The following is a 21,300-nucleotide window of genomic DNA, read 5'->3' on the forward strand; positions in this document are numbered from 1 at the left end:
TCGCCTCAGCCTCCCAAGTCGCTAGGATTACAGGCGTGAACAACCGTGACGGGCTCTGTTCTATGCTTTAAAGATCTTCTCTGTTCAGAAATTTTAGAATTAAAGTGTTTTCAACAAAGCTTTCATGGTTGCAGTTTTTCATCCCATACCTGAGGGCACGGTATTTTCTAAGTCCGCTTGCGCGGCTCTGGAAAGCCCGGCCTGGCAGGGCGCCCGGCCCGCAGGCTCGCGGTTACATTTTCCACGGGCCAGACTGGGAATCACGTAGGGAGAGTCTGTACTCTTCCCAGCAGTCAGCCTTCCCTTATGCTGCTGGGGACGCGTCGTGCTGACCCGGAGCTCGGAGAGGAGCCAGACGCGCTCCACCCACTCAGGTCTGAGAAGCGATCCGACATGGACTACTGCCATTTGCGCCGTTGTCGGGCTCCACCTGGCGGCCGATGTTACGTATTGCACTTGTTCTCTGGAGCTCCCGCGAGAGAGAGAAGTGGCCGCTGTGCACCAGCGTCGAGTTCCAGGATGTCCCTAGCGTTAGCAGGATTGTTCCGCCTGCTAGCAAAGCATTCGCTCCCCATCTGTTCGTGGGAGCTTGGACCTACAGCTTAAGGTCGGAGGAGGCTCTTGTCGCGCTCTTAGCCCTGGATGCTCTGTGGTGGGGCAACATGCGGGTCGACCAGCAACCCCCAGTGCCTGCCCCTCCAACACGAGACCTATCGGGGTCAACACGAACCATCTTGAAAGGGTGTTTGGAGGCCTCCCCGCGTGTGTCCCGATACCAGTACCTTCCATTTGACCCCATTTTCCTCAAGTTCTGCCTCAGAGGTGGGCACCGGCAGCTGTACTCAGAGGACCGCGGAGGGGGCTCCACCAGCCTGCACTAGGTCCCGCGTCGGTGCGCATCCTCAGACCTGCCTTTTCCGAGGCCCGCTTGGGAGGTGACAAGGGACTGGAGAAGAACCAGGTGCCCCGGGGAGGGCGTCTCAGATTCTGTCTGTGTGGAGCAGGACCCTGACGCCACGGGGAGGTTCCTTATGTTTTTGGCCTCTTCCCACATACCTTAACCTCTTCCCAAATACTGGGAACCCCAGGATTCATTTGGCTGCCGAAACTGTCCAAGCTCTAGGCTGCAGGCACCAACCTATTCCAGTATAGTCCTTTGCTCCAGGACACCTGGGCCGCTTTCCTGAGGGAAGAACATTCCCTTTATCAGGCAGAGACCCTGGCCACCCATGCCATCCACAAGCTGTTCCTGCCAGATCTGCCGGCACTCAGTCATCCTGGGCCATCAGGCTACTGAGTTCCGGGAGATGGTGAGTGCTCAGGGTGTGTGTGTGGCCGGCCAGAGGTGTCAGAGCCCAAAGTAGCTGGGAAGTAGCCAGAGGAAAGCCAAGTCCCCAGTCATCTGATGCTAACCTCGAACTTTTCATCCTTCTCCTTCCTCGTGCATTGCTCCTTCCAGGCATTCTTTAATCACAGCTGTGTTGGAGGCTGGGATTCCAGACCCAGCACTAACAGGGTACAGCCACAGCTGCAGCATCTCACCGTGACCTAGAGCCTGGCCCAGCTACCCAACTCAGGCAGTTCATCTAGCACAGCATCCCTGGGAGGTGGCCACTGTGAGATTCACTTCGGATTAGGAACTGAGGCTCCAAAGCCACAAGTGACTTGCCCAACATCAGGTAGAAGGATTAGAATTTAGGTCTGCCGGCCTCTAAAGCTGTCTCCCAAAGAATAGACCATTAACCAAGGAGACAGGTTATTTCCAGGTAATACAATGAAGTAATGTAACTACAAAGAAGGATGAGTAATCATGGTGGGGGCAGGATGGGGGGGCTCTCCCTGCATCTGTCTCTTCTCTTCCTCCTGCCCCCAGGCCCAGCCACTGAACATGCTCCTGGACCTTGACGTGCTGGGCTTCCATGTTGTCCTGTCTTGGCTCAGACACCACAGAAGGATCACTCCCCTTCCGGTGATAATGGAGTTCTTCATTACTAAAGTGTGCAGTCATGAAATCCATTACTAACCCTGAGACTCTCGGGCAAGAGGTGACAGGTCAGCTAAGTGGGAGAACAGTAGCAAAGTATAATGGAATAAGATGGGGAGGCTTCCAATCAGAGAAGGACAGTAAACACAGACACAAGCTGGGTGGCCTCCACACCTGTATTCAGTTCCCCAAGGTACTGTGGGGAAGAAGACATCTGCAACTCAGTAAAATCACATCTAAATCCTTAAAAAGGATTCTTCTCCTCTATACATTAGTCAAAACCCTCATGGGTACTTTATCCAGATATGAACATAAAATAGTATTTTCTGCACATCTAATTAGCAACAATTCAGGACCATTACAATAGTCCAGGTGGCGAGGACCAGTGAGATCCTTTGATGCTTCTCTTGAAAAATGTACATGGTGCCATTTTTTGCAGCATCATTTGGCAATATGTATTAAGAAGCTGTAAAATGTTTACAGCCTTTGACCTACAAATCGTACCTCTGGGAATTTTTAGGAATATAATATTCAGAGATGCTGACAAAGACCTGTGTACAGAATGTTCGTTGCAAACCAGCTCTGTTCTATGCTTTAAAGAGCCCATTATTCACAATAGCTGAAAATTGGAAGCAACTTCCATGACCAATGAATAGGAAAAAAGTAAAGAAAATTGTTGGGGTCGGGGGACTCTACAATAAAAATCATAATACTTTCCAAATGTTTTAGAAAGAATGTTGATGCTACGGGGGAAATGAGGGAGCTTCCTAATGAAGCATATTAAACTTAATAGATCTCAAAGGCGACTCTCGTTTTCACACTCAAATATGACTCTTCCTTTTCTTCTCTCAGTGAAAAGCACTGAGATGGGAAAAGTCCCCAACTTCTCCCAGTTTCCCACGTCAAAAATCTAGAATTTGTTCTTGATTCTTTCCTTTCTCTCTCACTGGACAGCCACTGCTACAATCAGTCCTGCTGGGGCTGTTTCAAATGAATACCTCTGGGCCATCCCCTTCCCTATCTTCACCCTCCCACTTCCTCGTCTTCCTCTCCTCTCTTTTCCTCCCTCCTTGTCCCTTATCTACTCCCTCCCCTCCTTGCCCTTCTCTTCATCTCCCTTACCCTATTACTCCCTCCTCTCCCTATCTGCGCCTGTCCCTCCCCTTCCCACCCCACCTTACCCTGCCATCACTTCATTCTCACTAGGTCTCCTCTCTCAGGGATGACCCCAATGTCCTTCTGCTACTTGAGGGGCTCCCAGCTTCCTTCTTTAGCCCAGAGCCCCTTCTGTGCCCACAGCCAGAGGCCTCCCATGGAATGTAAGTCCTTCACTCACTCCCTGTTGGACTCCCCACAAGTGGATTCCTTGCTACTTAGAGCAAAACACAAAGCTCTTCCTGTGGAACTGAGCTTCGACTGGTGGGGGACATAAGAGGCAGCCACTGGCCCAACCAGCCAAGGCCTAAAGCTCGCAGAAGAGAAATTCTCATTAGCAGAATTTTCAGTCGTTGGAGCTGAGCTGCAGGATGTTTGAGTGTGGAGACCTAGCACAAAATGTACCAATGGGGGGCTGGTCCGAGTCTTCAGTCCCCTACCATGCTCCCTACCTCTATACTGTGTGCTCCTGTCACTCTAGCTTCCTTCTGCATGGAATGCCTCCTTTCTATTTTCTGTGGTCACACCTCTGCAGTGAGCCCCATGAGACCCACCAACTTCAGAAGCTGCCCCTGACACCTCTAGCAGTAGACAAGTGTGTCCTGTGCTGTCCATGCCCTTCCTTTGTACCTATAAGCTGGTGACTCTGTTCTATAAATAGTTAGGTCCCTGTCTCATCTTCCCAGCCGGACTGTGAGGTATTCATGGTGGGATCTATGTCTGATCCATCTCAGGGAGTCCCGTGGAGCTTGACCTAATGCCCGGCATGTGGGAATCCCAGAGAGGAAACAGCATGTGCAAAGGCTGGAGACCTGATGGCACCTGTGGCAATACGGAAGAGTCCATGTGTGTAAAGGGCAACAAAATAGAGCAGTATTAGATAAAATAAATATTCTTGAGTGCATACTGATATAAATAAATGATTAAATAAGTTAATGAATGAGGGAAAGGAGATAAATTTCCCATGCAGGATTTCAAATGAATTATGTTATATATTCCATCCCAAAGGAGAGCGAGAATAACTCCCCACTCCTTATGTGTGGGCTGCACACAGTGACTTATTCTCCAAAGAGGACGGTATGGAAGAGGGGGAAAAAGAGAAACTGCAGTGGAGAATCCTGATGAGCACTACCTCTGCCAGATCTTTAGTGATGTCAGTCATCCCCTTTTTATATTCATAATTTTCTCTTTTTTCCCAATCAATCCAGCTGGAGATTTGTCGTTTTCATTGATCTTTCCCAAAGAACACGTTTTTGGATTCATTGATTTTTTTTCCTTTTTTTATTTCATTGATTCCCATTTTGATCTTTATTATTCCCTTTCTTTTGGTTACTTTAGATTTAATTTGCTCTTCCTCATATATATTTTGAGACAGAATCTTGCTCTGTTGCCCAGGCTGGAGTGCAGTGGCACAATCTCGGCTCACTGCAACCACCACCTCCTGGGTTCAAGTGACTCTCCTGCCTCAGCCTCCCAAGTAGCTGGGATTACAGGTGCCAGCCACCATACCCAGCTAATTTTTGTATTTTTAGTAGAGATGGAGTTTCACCATGTTGGGTAGGCTGGTCTCGAACTCCCAACCTCAGGTGATCTGTCTACCTCGACCTTCCCCAAGTGTTAGGATTACAGGCGTGAGCCACTGCGCCTGGGCGATATTCTTCAATTAGAAACTGAGGTTGCTGATCTGAGACCCTTATTCTTTTCTAATACAGTAATATCATAAATTTCCCTTCAGGTACTGCTTCAGTGACAACCGACAAATTCTTTGTTGTTTTTCTATTTCCAATAACTTCAAATAACTTTCTAATATTCCTTTAGATTTCTTCTTTGTCCTATGAGTTATTTAGAAGTGAGTTAATTTCCAAATATTTGGGGATATTTAAAGGATCTTTCTGTTACTGGTTTTTAATTTTATTCCATTGTGGCCTGAGAACATACTTTGTAGTTGAATACTTTTTTATTTATTGAGGTTTTTAATGGGCTATAATGTGGTCTATCTCCATAAATCTTCCGTGCACAGTTGAGAAAATGTGTATTTTGCTTTTATAGGGTGGAGTATTCTATAAATATAAATCAGGTCAAGTTGGTTGATGGTGTTGTTCAAGTCCAATACATTCTTGCTGATTTATTGCCTATTTATTCTATGAAGTGTTGAGAGTGGGATTAAAATCTCTGATGGTTATCTCTATCTCTACTTATTGTTTTATTACTTTTCTTCATACATTTTGAAGCTTTTTTTGTTAGGTACAAAAAGACGTAAGTTTGTTATGTCTTCTTCATTAACTAACCACATTATCAGTAAGAAATAATCTCTTTAATCCCTGGTAATAGCCTTTGCTCTGAAGTCCATTTTGGCATTCGTATAGCCACCTCAGCTTTCTTTTGACTAGTCTTGGCATGGTATATCTTTTTCCATCCTCTTACATCTAACCTATTTGCATCTTTATATTTAAACTACATTTCTTGGCCAGGTGTGGTGGCTCACACCTGTAATCCCAGTACTTTGGGAGGCCAAGGCAGGTGGATCACCTGATTTCAGGAGTTTGAGACCAGCCTGGCCAAGATGGTGAAACTCCGTCTCTACTAAAAATACAAAAATTTGCTGGGTGTGGTGGCAGGGGCCTGTATTCCTAGCTATTTGGGAGGCTGAGGCAGGAGAATCGCTTGAACCCGGGAGGCAGAGGTTGCAGTGAGATCGCACTGTTCCACTCCATTGCACTCCAGCCTGGGCAACAAGAACAAAACTCCATCTCCAAAAATAAGTAAATAAATAAAGTACATTTCTTGTAAGCAAAATACAACCAGCTTTTAAAAAAATCCAATCTGACAACCTGTCTTCTAAATCAATTTAAATGTAATGTAATTCCTAATATGGTTGAGTCTCTTATCTTGCTATTGTTTTCTACTCATCACATCTGTCCTTTATTCTCTTTTACATCTTTTTCTGTCTTCTTTTGGATTTACCCAATATATTTTTATGATTCCATTTGATCTCCTTTGTTAGTTTAATAGCTGTAATCTTTTGGTTTGTTATCTTAGTGGTGGCTCCAGGGTTTACAGTGTACACCTTTAACTGATCACGGCTGACCTTCAGGTGACAGTAGATCACATCATGTACAGTTTAAGAATCTGAGAATAGTAAACTTCCCCCCTTTTAGTCTTTAAGCTCTTATTGTCATCCATTTTACTTTTACATATATTATAAACTGCATATTACTTTATTTCCTAAACAATTATCTTTTAGAGAAGTTTAAATAATATAAAGTATATATCCATGTTGTTACTATTTCTGGTATAGATACACAATGTTACTATTTCTGGTGTAGACCATTTCTTTGTGTGGATCCAGATTTCCATCTGGTATTGCTACGGGATCCTTGAGGTATTACTTCATCAGCCAAAAGCCTCTATGGCCAGTGGAGCCTTTTCCAGAGTTTTGCTCTGGATCTCTGGTCTTGTTCCACCCACTCGGCCTGGCAGGCTGTGCTCAGTTCCCACTATGAGCCTGGATCGCTTGTCTGCCAAGGGTAAGCCAGGCACGGAGGAGCAAGGGGTGTGTGAGCAAGCATGGGGTCCGGCCACTGCACACAGCCAGGCATGCCGGCTGAGGGGGGATAGGCGATGGGCAGGCAGCTTCAGGCACTGGCACGGGTGCCAGCTCCATGCAAGGCTGCAGCTAGACCAGGCATACCATAAGCAGCTTCCACGGCTGACACCAGGGAATGTGGTGGTGCCCAGAACCCTGGAGATGCCAGGAACCCACAGAGCCCTAAAGAGGGTGTCACAGCCCTGGCTCGGAGTTCCTAGGTCTGGGCTCCCTGAAGAGCCACAGCTCTTCTCTTCTCTCTTCTCATTGCTTGCAATGTGACAAACAAGGGGCATGTTTCAGCGCTGTTTGTGTTATAGCTATTTTAGCTCCGCCATTCAGCAGGTCTCCAGTTCTTGTCCTGAGACCAGGAAGAATGATATATGCAGACAAGTGGAAGGTGAACAAGATGAAGAGGAGCTTTACCGAGAGATAAGACAGCTCAGAGGAGACCCGCAGTGGGTAGCTCCTCTCCATAGCCAGGGTGTCCTGTTGAGTACTGAGCTCTCAGCAGAGAGGGCAGCTCCTCTCTGCAGGCAGGTCATCCCGTTGTCTCTTCAGCTCTCAGCACAGAGGGTATCTCCTCCCTGAAGACTGGCGGCCCACCCCCTAGGCTTCAGCCCCACCCCAGCTTGCAGGTGGGGCTTCACTGGAAACCTGCTCCCTTCCACCCAAGAGCCTGTTTGCCTCCTGTCATTGTTCATGGCACCCACGTTATTCATGCCAAGGAGTACCTGCAGGCCAGTGCCAAGCTGTCCTCAGCCCCACTTCAGCCTCCTTCCCATGCTTGTCAGCCTCCACAGTCCAAAGGGGGCCAAGGGGCTGGCATGTCAGCACTACTCCAAGCATGCACACATGCAGCTGGGATGCGAAAGTGCTGAGAGAGAGACAGTGCCCCAGGTTGTGAACTGTGACAGGAGCAGATGCTAACAGTAAGGAGAACACGGACAGTGGGAGCAGGCACTTCCTAGCCTGCAGGGAAAGGGGTGCCTTCCTGGGCCCCCAAGAGTATGGAGATTCCTGGGTCCACAGCTGCAGCTTGGGTGGCTGCAGCTGCACTTGGGAGGGCGGGGCTCCTGCCTACTCTTGGCTCCCAAGAGCACAGGAGTGCCCTGGTAGCAGCCACAGCTTGGGTGGCTGCAGTTGCACCTGGGAAGCTCCCACTCTACCAACTTTCTGGCTCCATAAAGCATGCAGCCCTAGCCATACCACTGGTCTGCATTTTCCCCTTAGTGGCAGCAGGCAAGGTGCGGGTGGCTGGTGGCCTCAGCCAACCCCGCGCAAACAAACCCAATGCTCCTGGGGCCACCCCACAAGTCCTGGCTGCACTATCAGCTCACAGACTCCTGAGACGCAGCACACAGCGAGATTGAAGGCACGGCAGAGGTTCCGGGCCTGCAGTGGGTCCTTCCCAGTTGTGCAAGGGTCGGGGTGGTGCAGTCAGCTGCCTCAGGGATGTAGGGCACAGGGGACCCACCACTACCACTGCTGCTCCCACAGCCACTTCTGCCACCACCACTTGTGCCTCCATACTGCAGCTGGCGTGATAACAGTGGCTGCTCCAGATGGCACACCGCTGCCATTAGTATCGTTTTCTTTATGCCTGAAGGACATCCCTTAACTTTTCTTATAGTGCAGGTCTGCAGGTAGTAAAGTCGTTCAGCTTTTTCGAGTCTGAAAACTTCTTTATTTCTTCATCTATTATTCTCTTTTTGATGACCGTTAGTTAAACCAATCCATTGAACTTTCCATTTCAATTATGATACTTTTCATTTCGTTTCTACTTGGTACTTTCCCCAATCTATTTGGTTATTTTCATGCTCAAGTTATTTCAACTCCTTTATTTCTTTAAGTATAAAACGCACTTTGTACTGTCTTTGGTAACTTGACTGTCTTAAGTTTTTGCAGGCCTGCTCTTTCTGTCCATTGTTTCTGCTGGCTCTTGCCGATTTTACATTTGTGATTTTTTATTGTGAACTTATATTCCTTGAAAGTATCTCAGAGTTTCTCCAAAGACAATCCATTTTGCATCTGTCAGTCACCTAGAAGGCACCAAAAAGCTGATATTGCTTTAAATTTGAAGCTTGAGACATTTTAGACCACCCAGGTTGTGTGAACAAACCAGTTAAAGGGCTATATATATATATATATATATATATATATATATATATATACACACATACACACACATAAAACTCTCAGGGGAGATGTTTTCTCTCAGGATACCCAATGTTCCTCACTGTTCCTAGGGAAGCAGGGGTCAAGGGAAGCATACAGGGGGAGGCGGACAGGTTTATTCATAGTTCACCCTTACACTAAGTCTGTCCTTTTGGATCTCACTTTATGATGTCTCCTCTTAGCCCCTCCCACTTGGGCAGGCCCTCAGCTTTGTCTGCTGTTCTGCTGCCCCTTTTCCACCTCACGCTGTGAAAAACAGCAAAGTTTAGTTTGACAGGCAAATATCTGAAGGGTGAAAAGTGGCATCAGTGCCTTAGTTACTTCTTTGGGTTTCACTTCCATTTTAAAACTTTTTTAGCTTTTTGGAATTCTTATTTTGTAGCTCATTGACACATTTTTAAGAGGTTCTTGATATGTATTCCAGAAGCTTTAGTTGTTTCCAGCTGGTCCTTATCACCCCTACTGTTGGAAATAAAATTCTTTCAACTTGTTCTTTAGCAATGTACAGGCTCCATAGAGCTCTCGCTGATCCTGAGGCAACAGGGTAAGAACGTCACTTAGGAATCAGGCTGGCCTGAGATCAAGTCTCAGATCCACCAGCAGTGTGACATCAGTGCCTCGCTTTCTTTATAGGGTTGGTGATATGGTTTGGCTCTGAGTCCCCAGCCAAATGTCATGTCGAATTGTAATTTCCAATTACAATTGGAAATTGAATCTTACAATTGGAAATTGATTATTGAATCATAGGTGTGGACATCCCCCTTGCTGTTCTTGTGATAGGGCTCTCATGAGATCTGGCTGTTTAATACTGTATATTAACTTCCCCTGTGCTCCTGCTGTCCATACGAAGATATGCTTCCTTCCCTTTCACCTTCTACCATGATTGTAAGTTTCCTGAGGCCTCCTCAGCCATGCTTCCTGTACAGCTTGTGGAACCATGAGCCAATTAAACCTTTTTTTCTTTATAAATTACCCAGTCTCAGGTACTTCCTTATAGCAATGTGAGAACAAACTAATACAGAAAATCGGTACCAGAGAAGTAGGGCATTGTTACAAAGATACCCGAAACTGTGGAAGCGACTTTGGACTTAGGTAATAGGCAGAGGTTGGAACAGTTTGGAAGGCTTATAAGAAGACATGAAGATGACGGCTGGGCATGGTAGCTCATGCCTGCAATCCCAGCACTTTGGGAGGGTGAAGCAGGTGGATCATTTGATGTCAGGGTTTCAAAGCCAGCCAGACCAACATGGTGAAACTCTGTCTCTACTAAAAATACAAAAAAAAATTAGGCGGGCATCATGGCGCATGCCTGTAATCCCAGCTACTCAGGAAGCTGAGGTAGGAGGATCATTTGAACCCAGGAGGCAGAGGTTGCAGTGAGCCAAGATTGTGCCACCACATTCCAGCTTGGATAACAGAGTGAGACTCCATCTAAAAAAAACAAAAACAAAAACAAAAATGAAAACAAAACAAAAAAACAGAAGACAGGAAGAAAAGTTTGGAACTTCCTAGAGACTTGCTGAATGGTTGTGACTGAAATGCTCATATAGTGATACGGACAGTGAAATCCAGGCTGACGTGGTCTCAGATGGAGGTGAGGAACTTATTGGGAACTGGAGTTTGCAGTCACTCTTGCTATGTTTTAGCAAGGAGACTGGTGGCATTGTGCTCCTACTCTAGGGATCTGTGGAACTTCAAACTTTAGATGATTTAGGGCATCTGGCAGAAGAAATTTCTAAATTTCTAAACAGCAAAGCATTCAAGATATAACTTGGCTGCTTCTAACAGCATATGCTCATATACATTCACAAAGAGATGGTCTGAAATTGGAACTTATATTTAAAAGGGAAGCAGAGCATAAAAGATTGGAAAATTTGCAGCCTGACCATGTGGTAGAAAAGAAAAACCAAATTTCTGGTAAGACATTCAACTCAGCTGCAGGAATTTGCATAAGTAAAGAGGAGCAGAATGTGAATAGCCAAGATAATGGGGAAAATGCCTCCAGGGCATTTCAGAGATCTTCACAGTAGCCCTTCCCATCACAGGCCTGAAAGATTAGGAGGGAAAAATGGTTTCATGGCCTAGGCCCAGGACCCCACTGTTCTGTACAACCTCGGGACATGTCACCCTGAATCCCAGCTGCTTCAGCTCCAGCTGTGGCTAAAAGGGCCCCAGATACATCTCAGGCCACTGCATCAGAGGGTGCAGCCATAAGAAGCCTTTGTGGCTTCCATGTGGTTTTAAGCTTACAGGTGCAAGGAAGGCAAGAGTTGAGGCTTGGGAGTTTCCACCTAGATTTTAAACGTTGTATGATAATGCCTGGATGTCCAGGAGGAAGTCTGCTGTAGGGTCAGAGCCCTCATGGAGAGCCTTTACTAAAGCAGTCTGGAGGTGAAATGTGGGTTTGGAGGCCCCACTCAATGTCCGCACTGGGGCACTGCCTAGTGGAGCTGTGAGAAGAGGGCCACTGTCCTGCAGGCCAGAGAATGGTAGATCCATTGAAAGCTTTCACTGTGTGCCTGAAAAAGCCACAGGCACTCAATGCCAGCCCATGGAAGCAGTCACTGGGGAAGTACCCTGCAGAGCCATGGGGCAGAGCTGCCCAAGGCCTTGGGACCCCACCCCTTGCATCAGTTTGGCCTGGATGCACACCATGAGCAGTAATGGGAAAATTCTTATTGAAAAAGGCAAGAACAAATCAGCCCAGTGAGATGAATTACATGTTGCACTCCTTCCTGGGATGGAAGAATTGAACAATGATAGGATCTTCTACATTTCGGTTTTTACTTTTACTGACTCATGGGCAGTGGCCAATGGCCTGGCCATGTGACCAGGCAGAGGGACAATGGCAAACTGGGCTGTGAAAGGATGTCCACATGGAGCACAGCACTGCAGGAATTTAAAGGGCACATTAAAGTAGGTCATGTCAATGCCCACCTGAAGAACCCCTCCCAGGTTCAGTGATCAGATCTGGTAGGTGGATATCCTGGTGACCTTGAGGTGGCCACCTGGGCTTAACAAAGGAGTGGACAAAGGGGAGCTGCAGCCGTGCAGGGATGGGCTGCTCAGCAACACGTCCCTCCTCCACCCTCAGAAGCACCAAATGCCAACAAGAACCGTCCTATCTGACAGCAGGAAGACAGAGACTGCAGGTGGCTATGGGGCAGATTCCCAGTGGGAAGGCACCACTCATAGCTAACAAGTAGATTATACCAGACTGAAGCCAGTATCCCTGGGAGGCTATAATGGGTCCTGACACGTTCTCTGGACTGGGCTTTGCATAGTCATTAGATTCAAATGCCAAAAATACTATAAAAGAACTGGAACAGATGATAAGACATCAACTTGGACCACCAAGTTTTATTTCTTCAGGCCAAAGAACACATTTATGGCCCACAGTGTCCTATAATGGACATACCATGTTGCATATTGTCTTCATCTCCTAGGGCTGCCATAAAAAAGTGCCACAAACCATATGGCTGACTTACAAAACAAAATGCACTGTCTCACAGTTCTGGAGACTAGAAGTCTGAGATCAAGTTCTTGGCAGGGCTGGATCCTTCTGAGGGCTGTGAGGAAGAATCTAATCCACACTTCTCTCCTAGCTTCTGGTGGTTTGCTGGCAATCTTTGGCATCCCTGGGCTTGTAGAATTCTGCCTTCATCTTCATATGGCATATCCCCTGTGTTATCTCTGTGCACAAATTTCCCTTTTTTATAAAGACACAAATCATATTGGATTAGGGGGCCCACCCTATTACAGCATGACCTCATCTTAACTAATTACATTAACAACAATCCCATTTTCAAAAAAGGTCATGTTCTTAGGTACTGGGGGTTCTGAGTTCAGCATATGAAATTTTTATTTAGGGTAACATATATCCCTTTTTTCAGTTTTTATTGTGTTAAAACACACATAAAATTTACCATCTTAACCATTTTAAGTGTACAATTCAGTGGTATTAAATACATTGATAATGTTGTAGAAGTATCCCCACAACCCATCTGCAAAACTCTCTTCATCTTGTAAAACTGAAATGATATTTATTAAAACCTAACCCCTACCCCCTCTTCCCAGCCTCTGGCAACCACCATTCTACCTTCTGTCTATGAAGTTGAATATTCTAGGCCCCTCATTTAAATGGAATCATGCAGTATTTGTTTTTGTGACAGGCTTATTTCACCTAGCATAATGTACTCAAGGTGCATCCATGTTATAGCATATGTCTATATGCTATATAGACATTTTCTTCCTTTTGGAAGCTGAATAATATTCCACTGTATGTATGTATATGTCAGATTTTGTTTTTCCATTCATCCCTCAATGAATGCTTAGATTATTTCCCTTTTGGCTATTGTGTCTAATGCTGCTATGAACACGGGTGTACAGATATCTCTTTGAGACCCTGCTTTCAATTATTTTGGTATTCCACCCAGAAGTGGAAATGCTGGATCATAGGGTAATTCTGTTTCTAATTTCTTGAGGAATCACCATATTGTTTTCCATACTAGATGTACGGTTTTATATTCCCACCAACAGGAATATAAGCATTCCAAACATGAATTTTGTGGGAACATATTTCAAACCATAGCAGTCACCAAAAGCTCAAGCAACAAAACAAAAAATAGATCAGTTCAATTTCATTAAAAAGTTCTGTGTTTCAAAGTTGACATGGTTTGGCTGTGTCCCCACCCAAATCTCATCTTGAGTTGTAACTCCCAGAATTCTCATGTGTTGTGGGAGGAACCCAGTGGAAGGTGACTGAATTATGGGGGCAGGTCTTTCTTGTGCTGTTCTCATGATAGTGAATGAGTCTCACGAGATCTGATGGTTTTAAAAATGAGAGTTTCCCTGCACAAGCTCTCACTTTGCCTGCTGCCATCCATGTAAGACGTGACTTGCTCCTCCTTGCCTTTCATCTTTCGCCATGATTGTGTGGTCTCCCCAGCCACATGGAACTGTGAGTCCAATAAACCTCCTTCTTTTGTAAATTGACCAGTCTCAGGTATGTCTTTATCAGCAGCATGAAAACAGACTAATACAAAGGTTACATAAGAAAATAAGGACAACCACAGAATGGGACAAAAACTTATAAGTCCTATATCTGATAAGGAACACATGTTCCAGATGATATAACCACTCTTACAACTCAATAAAAAGACAACGCAATTTAAAAATGGGCAAAAGATGAATAGACATTTCTTCAAAAACATGAAAAATGGCCAATAAGCATGTGAGAAGGTGCTCAATAACATTCATTATTAGGGAAATGCAAATCAAAACACAATGATACACCACGTCACCCCAATGAGATAACTAAATTCAAAAGACAAACAATAAGGAGTGTCAGCAAGAACAGGAAACTGGATAAGAACCTTCATTCAATGCTGAGGGAATGTAAAACCTTGTCTGTTTTGGAAAACATTTTGGTAGTTTCTCAAAAATTAAAACAGAGTTATCATATGATCCAGTAATTACACTCCAAGGTATATACTTAAAAGAAATGAAACCACACAAAAACGTATACCTGAATGTTCACAGCAGCATTATTCATCATAGCCAAAGTGGAAACAAGACCACTCAAGCCAGCCCTGCCTCGGAACCTGACAAAGTTAAATGGAAGCCTACACAGCTGAGCCGCATTTCCATGGGAGACATTTTGGTCATTCCAGGTGATGATGAACTACACCAATTGTTAGTGGCTGACAAGAACCTCAGGAATGTGCCAGCATCTTTTGACTTTTATTTTGGGGGGCTGCATCTACTACCACAACATGCAATATGGGTAACACTGGCATGGCTGGTTAGATTTGATTACCTCATGCAAATAAGTCATGTGGTAATACTGATATTGATGATCAAATGTATTGGGAGATTGAGTTAAAGTCTCCTCAGGATGTAATACCAACGGAAAATGAGTCTTTAGAAGAACTATATTTAGTTAACCATCACCTAATTTCCAGATAAATAGTTCTGCACAGGTCATATAAGATACAAAGAGCAGTAGATCAAGGGGGAGGATGATCTTGGGGACTCCTGAAATATACTGTCAATAACCCAGATATCCTCCAGTAAATACATGGATATACAAAGTGTGGTATACATACATATGTACATACAGTGGAACATTATTCAGCCATAAACAGGAATGAAATACTGATACAGGCCACACAATGAATGAACCTCAATAAACCGTAGAATCCTGCTAAGTGAAAGAAGCCAGTCAGAAAAGACCAGATATTGGATGACACATTTATATAAAATGTCCAGAATAGGCAAATCTAGAGACAGAAAGCAGATTCATGGTTGTCAGGGGTTGAGGGAAGGAGGAAATGAGGAGTGATTAAGTGAATTAATGCATGTTAACACCTTAAACTTTGGGCAACTGCCCAATCACACAGACAGTGCAGTCTCATTCATGGGCTACATGACAAAACAAAGAGAAAAGCCTGGGTAGAAATACCAACATGTATGTCACGAAAAATATAATACCTAAATAAACAGAGAAACTATGTTCCTTAATGAGCAAATTCAATATTATAAGGTTGCCAATTCTCCTCCCATAGTTTCTCAAAAGTTGCAATGTAATGCAATTTTAATCTAAATGGCATGGTTATCTAGACAAGAAAAAAATTGATTGTAAAATTTATATGAAATAATAAAGGTGTGAGAATTGCAAGGAAAATTTTCAAATGGAAAATTATTACAGGAGAAAGGAGTGTGGAGACCTTGCTCTGTATGGTAGAAGTCAAAGACAGCTACCATCAATTCTTTCCCTTCCTCAACACACATTGCTTCTCAAGAGGTGAGGAATAGCTCCCTTCCCCTTGAATCTGGCTGCCTTGCAACTTGCTTGATCCATAGAAAATGCCATAAATTCCATTCTGGGAATTCTACTATTGGATTTTTTTTTTTTTGAGATGGAGTCTCCCTCTATTGCCAGTCTTGAGTGCAGTGGTGCAATCTCAGCTCACTGCAACCTCCGCCTCCCAGGTTCTAGAGATTCTCCTGTCTCAGCCTCCCGAGTAGTTGGGACTACCGGTTCACACCACCATGCCCAGCTAATTTTTGTATTTTTTTTTTTATTGGAGACGGGTTTCACTATGTTGGCCAGGATGGTCTCGATCTCATGACCTTGTGATCTGCCTGCCTTGGCCTCCCAAAGTGCTGGGATTACATGCATGAGCCATCGTGCCTGGCCCGATTTTTTTTTTTTTTTTTTTTTTTTTTAAGAAACTGAAGCCTCTACTTCGGTCTCTTGGTAGCCTTCCTCCTGGGAAGCTCTTTCTTGAATCTAGTCACCATTCCATTCCACCACGCCACATATGTCTTCTCCAGGCAACAGCCAACATCTATTGTCAGCCATGTAAGTGAGTTTCAGATGACTGTGGCCCCGGCTAATGTTTGACTGTAGCACATGTGAGAGGCCCCATGCAGAACCACCTAGAAACATGGAGAGCAGTCACCCTGCAGAACCATGAGTAAGTTAAGCTTAGGGGTGGTTAATTACGCAGAAATAAGTAAACAGAGCACTCCACCAGGTATTAAAGATTATTACAAAGATTATGTAATTAAAACAATACAGAACAGACCAGGGTTGACTACAAGATCAATGGGACAGAATAAAGTTACATATCCAATGCCTGCTGCTGACCACAGGGATTTGTCACAGATCTCATCACTTAGAAACCCTACAGTGGTTTCCCTGGTCACCTTCCAGTCACCACTACACCTTGGCTCCTTTTAGCACTCCTCCCTAGCTTATCACTATATGAAATTGCTTTATCTCTTTGTATTGTCTGTCACCTGCCACCATAATGTGAATTTCTAGACCTCCATAGCATGCAAAGCTCTAGAACAGTTCTTTGAACACAGAAGGTGCTTGACAAATATTTTCTGAAAGAAAAAGAAGATACTTCAATACCTCAGTTTACTAAGGACGTGGGGCTACCATATGGCTGCCTGAACAAATACAGCTTGACATTCACTTTCTTGCTACTGATTGAAGTGTATTAACTTGTGTAATCACACAACTACCCTATGGGGTAGGTGCCCTTATTTCTCCATTTGGCAGAGAGGGACTAAGTATCTTAACCAAGGTCACACGGCTTTCAAGTGCCAGAGCCACGACTCAGATCTACACAGGTCTGGCTCCAGAGCCCCCAATCTAACCTCTTAACCTCTCTGCTTTACTGGGCTAAACCTTCACCACCTATCATATGGAAAAAGAAATTCAATAGAAAGTTATATGGAAAAAATACAACCCTGTGTTAATATTAGAAAATCCATAGTAACATGTAGAATGAGGAAGCTTCCTCAAGCCCAACTATACAGGTCAGATCGGTTGAAAAAATAAAACTAACAAATTTTTACATGTCAAAATATGCAATATTTGAAAATCCAAGGCTAATATCTTTAAATAGGCAAAGATTTATTAATACCCCTTGACACACAAACAGGAAGTGAGAAAATGGGCAACTGACACAAATCGATAATTAACTGTGAGGACATAGGTGGTGGAGTCTCTCCTAATCCTCTATTCTTGGAGATCTGAATGCCTGCCATTCCCGTATGGGAAGAACAGAGACGGTCATGGAAAACAGCATTTAATCTAGAAAGGACCACAATGAGGTCAAAGGGCGGTCTCAGGGCAGTCTTAAGAGCTCCCCATCCCCAAAGAACTGGCAAGGACTCTCCAGGTGCTCGTATGCGACTGCTGCCCAACTCCCATCACGAACTCAGAAGACCTGTCATTTTCTGAAATTTTCATGACTTCTAAGACACTAGTTATTGGGGAAAACTTCAAATTATTTAAATAATGAGAGGCGAAAAACATTGCTAAACTCATGAATACTCTGTATTTAAAACCTCCACTGGCGATCAGGGCACATAGAATCTCTACTACTGATCCCTGACGCTGGCCATCCCCCAACCCGTCGGCCCACGGACCCCAGCCCTGACCCCACCTCCTCCCAGCATCTTACACAAGGATTCTCACCACACTCCCCAGAGACTCGCCTGCCCAGGGCCCCTCTCTAACCCCATATAGCTCAGGTCTCTGATCCAGAGACTGCATCACCGACCTCTCCGACTACCTATTTCCAGATTAGAGTCCCTGATCCCAGAGGCATTGTCTAAAATAACTAGCTCTTACAACTACGTCCACTTCAGGAACCGCCCTGTGATGTCAGAACTTTGAGGCCGCCCGGCCAGGGCTGCACATGCTCAGTGAGGTCGGCGCCCGCCAGTAACAAACATGGCTCCCTGAAGCCGCTCAGGCTCAAGAGCAACAAGGAGGTCTGCACTTAATCGCTCCTCTCCGGGGGCGGCCATACCGAGGAGGCGTCTCTTCCGTGCAGGCAGGCTCTCCTGGGGACCTCAGAGATTCTCTCCAGCGGCAGCGGAAAACGGGCAATGGGTGGATTCGGGTCCAGATTCTGGCAGGAGGGAGTTTGGGATCGAGATCTGGAAAAAAGCACTAGACTGGAAGAGGACGCGATGGAGTCGGAGCCGCTGGCGGGGACAAAAACCAGAGGCCGGGGAAGGCGCCGGTGGGAGGCAAGGCGCGCATAGACTTTACCTGCGCACGCGTCGCAGCCATCTCCGCCCACAGTGGTGGCCACCGCCACTGGTGCTGAAGTGTCGGCGTGTGCCGGGCGCTCCGCTGGGACCCGGGTTGCTGGCCCTGAGTCTCAGCTTTCTCATCTGTACGGTTGGGACAAGTACAGTAACCCTCGCCCGTCAAGACGGGCCAGGGCTGTGGCGAGGGTCCACGCCTTAGAGCAGGCACCTATCTTGTGCAGGGCCCTGAGATGGGGTCTGACTCAGTTCCTGCGGGGAACTTCACCAGTGACCCAGTCAGTGCCCTTCAGTTAAAGACTACCAGGGGCACACTTGTAATTAAATATAATTACATTGCAGCAAGGAATGGGGTACTATGGGTCATCTCAGTGGGAGGAGTTAGAGAGAAACTATTATACGATTTGGGCTTTAATTGGTTGATTTCGGACAGGATCTCAGAAAGTGAAGACTTTAGATTGGATGCTGTCAGAAAGCAGGAGCAATATGATTATTAAGTATTTTGTGGGTGACATCAAGACCTTGTTTTTTATCTGCACTTAGACAACATTATAAAGTGCCCTTGTTTTTGTTTGCACTTATCACGGTCTCAGATTAACCTTCTGAAGTTGATATTCTGTGAGATTGTTTATGTCCAACAGGAAAACAAAATGTCCTGGCCATGAGCATCAGACCAGCGTGTAATCACATTAAGGCCTGTGACCCAAATATTGACAGAATTGAAGTTAGAAATAGTTCTACAGTAACAGAGTCTTCAATACTCCATTTAAAATAATGCATAGAAGCTGGACATGGTGGCTCATGCCTTTAATCTCAGCTACCTGGGGAGGCTGCGGCAGGTGGATTGCTTGAGGTCAGGAGTTTGAGACCAGCCTGGGCCTTTTGGCCTGTCTCGGCTTTTAACATACCTTCCTCACTCAGCTTAATCATTTCTCACTTTAGATTTATAATAAGAGATGTGTGACTCTTACTTTCACTTGAACACATAGAGGCCTTTATAGAGTTATTAATTGGCCTAATTTCAATATTGCTGTGTCTCAGAAAACAGACCTGAGGAGAGGGTGAGATGGAGGAAGGGCAGATCGATGGAACCATTCGAATACACATATGTATCAATTAAGCTCATTGTCTTTTGGAGCATGGCTTGTGATGCCCCAAAACAATGACAATAGTAATATCAACGATCACTGATAACAGATCACCATAACAGATATAATAATAACAAAACATTTGAAATATTGCAAGAATTACAAAAATGTAACACAGAGGTGCAAAATAAGCACATGCTACCAGAAAAGTGGCACTGGTAGACTTGCTTGGTGCAGGGTTGCCACAAACCTTCAACCTGTACAAACTGCAATATCCGAGAAGCATAATAATGTGAAGTGTAATAAAACAAGGTAAGCTTGTATATGTATGCATGCACACACCAGTACACATCCACCTATCCACACACAAATCTTTGTACTAACAAAGCCTGTATTTTCAATTCCAACAATACATCATTTGTACCTTAAAAATCTCTGTCATCCTTGTAGTGTCCTTTTCTGTCCTTGTTATCAGGGTAATGCTGGCCTCATAAAAAATGTTTGGAAGTGTTCCCTCCTCTTCAACTTTTGGAAGAGTTTGTGAAGAAATGGTATTAATTCTTCTTTAAACATTTGGTAGAATTCTCCACTAAGCTATCTGGTCTTGGATTTTCCTTTTTCAGGAGCTTTTTGACTACTGACTCAATATTTTTACTCATTATTTATCTGTTTTTATTTTCTATTTCTTCATGTTTCAGTCTTAGTGGATGTATGTTTCTAGAAATTATTCTAAGTTAAACAATTTGTTGACACATAGTTGTTTAGAGTAGACTATTATTATCCTTTGTATTTCTATGGTACCAATTTTAATATCTCCTTTTTTGTTCTAATTTTATTTACTTAAGATTTCTTTTTTCTTAGCCTAGTGATAGGTTGGTCAATTTTTATTATCTTTTCAAAAAATCAGCTCTTCGTTTCATTGATCTTTGCTATTGTTTTTCTAGTCTATTTCATTTATTTCTGCTATGATCTTTGTTATTTCCTTCTTCTAATTTTGGGCTTGATTTTTTTTCTCTATTTTTTGAGGTTTATTTGAGATCTTTTTTCTTCATTTAGCACTTATCTGTATAAACTTCCCTCTCTTAGAACGGCTTTTGCTTCATCTCATCAGTTTTAGTATGTCGTGCTTTCATTTTAGTTTGTCTCAAGATATTTTATTTCTTTTTTGATGTTTTCTTTGATCTACTGGTTATTCAGGAGTGTGTTGGTTGATTTCCACATATTTGTCACTTTTCTAAGTTTTCTCCTGTTTTTAATTTTCAGTTTCATGCCACTGTAGTCAAAAAGAATACTTGGTGAGATCTCAATCTTCTTAAATTTGCTAAGACTTGTTTTCTGGCCTAATATATGACCTATGTTGGAGAATGTACTGTGTATGCTCGAGAAGAATGTGTATTTTGCTGTTTTGGAAAGGAATGTCATGTATATGTCTGGTCCATTTGATCTATAGTGTAGTTCAAGTCAGCTGTTTCCTTACTGATTATCTGTCTGAGTGATCAATCCATTGTTGAAAGTGGGACATGGAAGTCCCCTACTGTTATTGTATTATTGTTGTCTACTTCTCTCTTCAGATTTGTTAATATTTGCTTTATATAATTAGGTGCTCCAATGTTGGGAGAATATATATTTGCAGTAGTTATATCCTCTCAATGAATTGACCCTTGTATCATTCTATAATGACTTTGTCTCTTGTTACAGTTTTTGACTTAAAGTCTATTTTGTTTGTTGTA

The 21,300-nt window shown here is 44.3% G+C and overlaps 1 long non-coding RNA gene across 4 annotated transcripts, besides 5 other annotated features; it reads right to left on the reverse strand.

Moving 5' to 3' along the window:
• Nucleotides 518-1,352: an enhancer, noted in NCBI's record as "H3K4me1 hESC enhancer chr9:41936783-41937617 (GRCh37/hg19 assembly coordinates)". NCBI's record gives its function as "activates a minimal SCP1, AML or CMV promoter by ChIP-STARR-seq in primed H9 embryonic stem cells {active_cell/tissue: H9 hESC(primed)}" and the evidence as "EXISTENCE:reporter gene assay evidence [ECO:0000049][PMID:30033119]".
• Nucleotides 6,241-6,765: an enhancer, noted in NCBI's record as "H3K27ac-H3K4me1 hESC enhancer chr9:41942506-41943030 (GRCh37/hg19 assembly coordinates)". NCBI's record gives its function as "activates a minimal SCP1, AML or CMV promoter by ChIP-STARR-seq in naive H9 embryonic stem cells {active_cell/tissue: H9 hESC(naive)}" and the evidence as "EXISTENCE:reporter gene assay evidence [ECO:0000049][PMID:30033119]".
• Nucleotides 6,766-7,290: an enhancer, noted in NCBI's record as "H3K27ac-H3K4me1 hESC enhancer chr9:41943031-41943555 (GRCh37/hg19 assembly coordinates)". NCBI's record gives its function as "activates a minimal SCP1, AML or CMV promoter by ChIP-STARR-seq in naive and primed H9 embryonic stem cells {active_cell/tissue: H9 hESC(naive and primed)}" and the evidence as "EXISTENCE:reporter gene assay evidence [ECO:0000049][PMID:30033119]".
• Nucleotides 12,249-18,912, reverse strand: GLIDR (glioblastoma down-regulated RNA). 4 transcript variants are annotated; one of them, NR_126045.1, is made up of 3 exons: nucleotides 18,484-18,912; nucleotides 18,239-18,368; nucleotides 16,441-17,514 (listed from the first exon to the last, which is right to left on the reverse strand). It is a non-coding gene; the product is annotated as a glioblastoma down-regulated RNA (long non-coding RNA). The 4 variants fall into 4 exon arrangements; NR_126046.1 differs by lacking the exon at nucleotides 16,441-17,514 and adding an exon at nucleotides 12,249-12,612 and having other exon boundaries at nucleotides 18,239-18,912; NR_015363.2 differs by having other exon boundaries at nucleotides 16,134-18,386.
• Nucleotides 18,362-18,431: an enhancer, noted in NCBI's record as "active region_28420". NCBI's record gives its function as "activates an Ori minimal core promoter by ATAC-STARR-seq in GM12878 lymphoblastoid cells {active_cell/tissue: GM12878}" and the evidence as "EXISTENCE:reporter gene assay evidence [ECO:0000049][PMID:35858748]".
• Nucleotides 18,742-18,911: an enhancer, noted in NCBI's record as "active region_28421". NCBI's record gives its function as "activates an Ori minimal core promoter by ATAC-STARR-seq in GM12878 lymphoblastoid cells {active_cell/tissue: GM12878}" and the evidence as "EXISTENCE:reporter gene assay evidence [ECO:0000049][PMID:35858748]".

This window comes from Homo sapiens, chromosome 9, assembly GCF_000001405.40.
Source record: "Homo sapiens chromosome 9, GRCh38.p14 Primary Assembly".
NCBI lineage: Eukaryota > Metazoa > Chordata > Mammalia > Primates > Hominidae > Homo > Homo sapiens.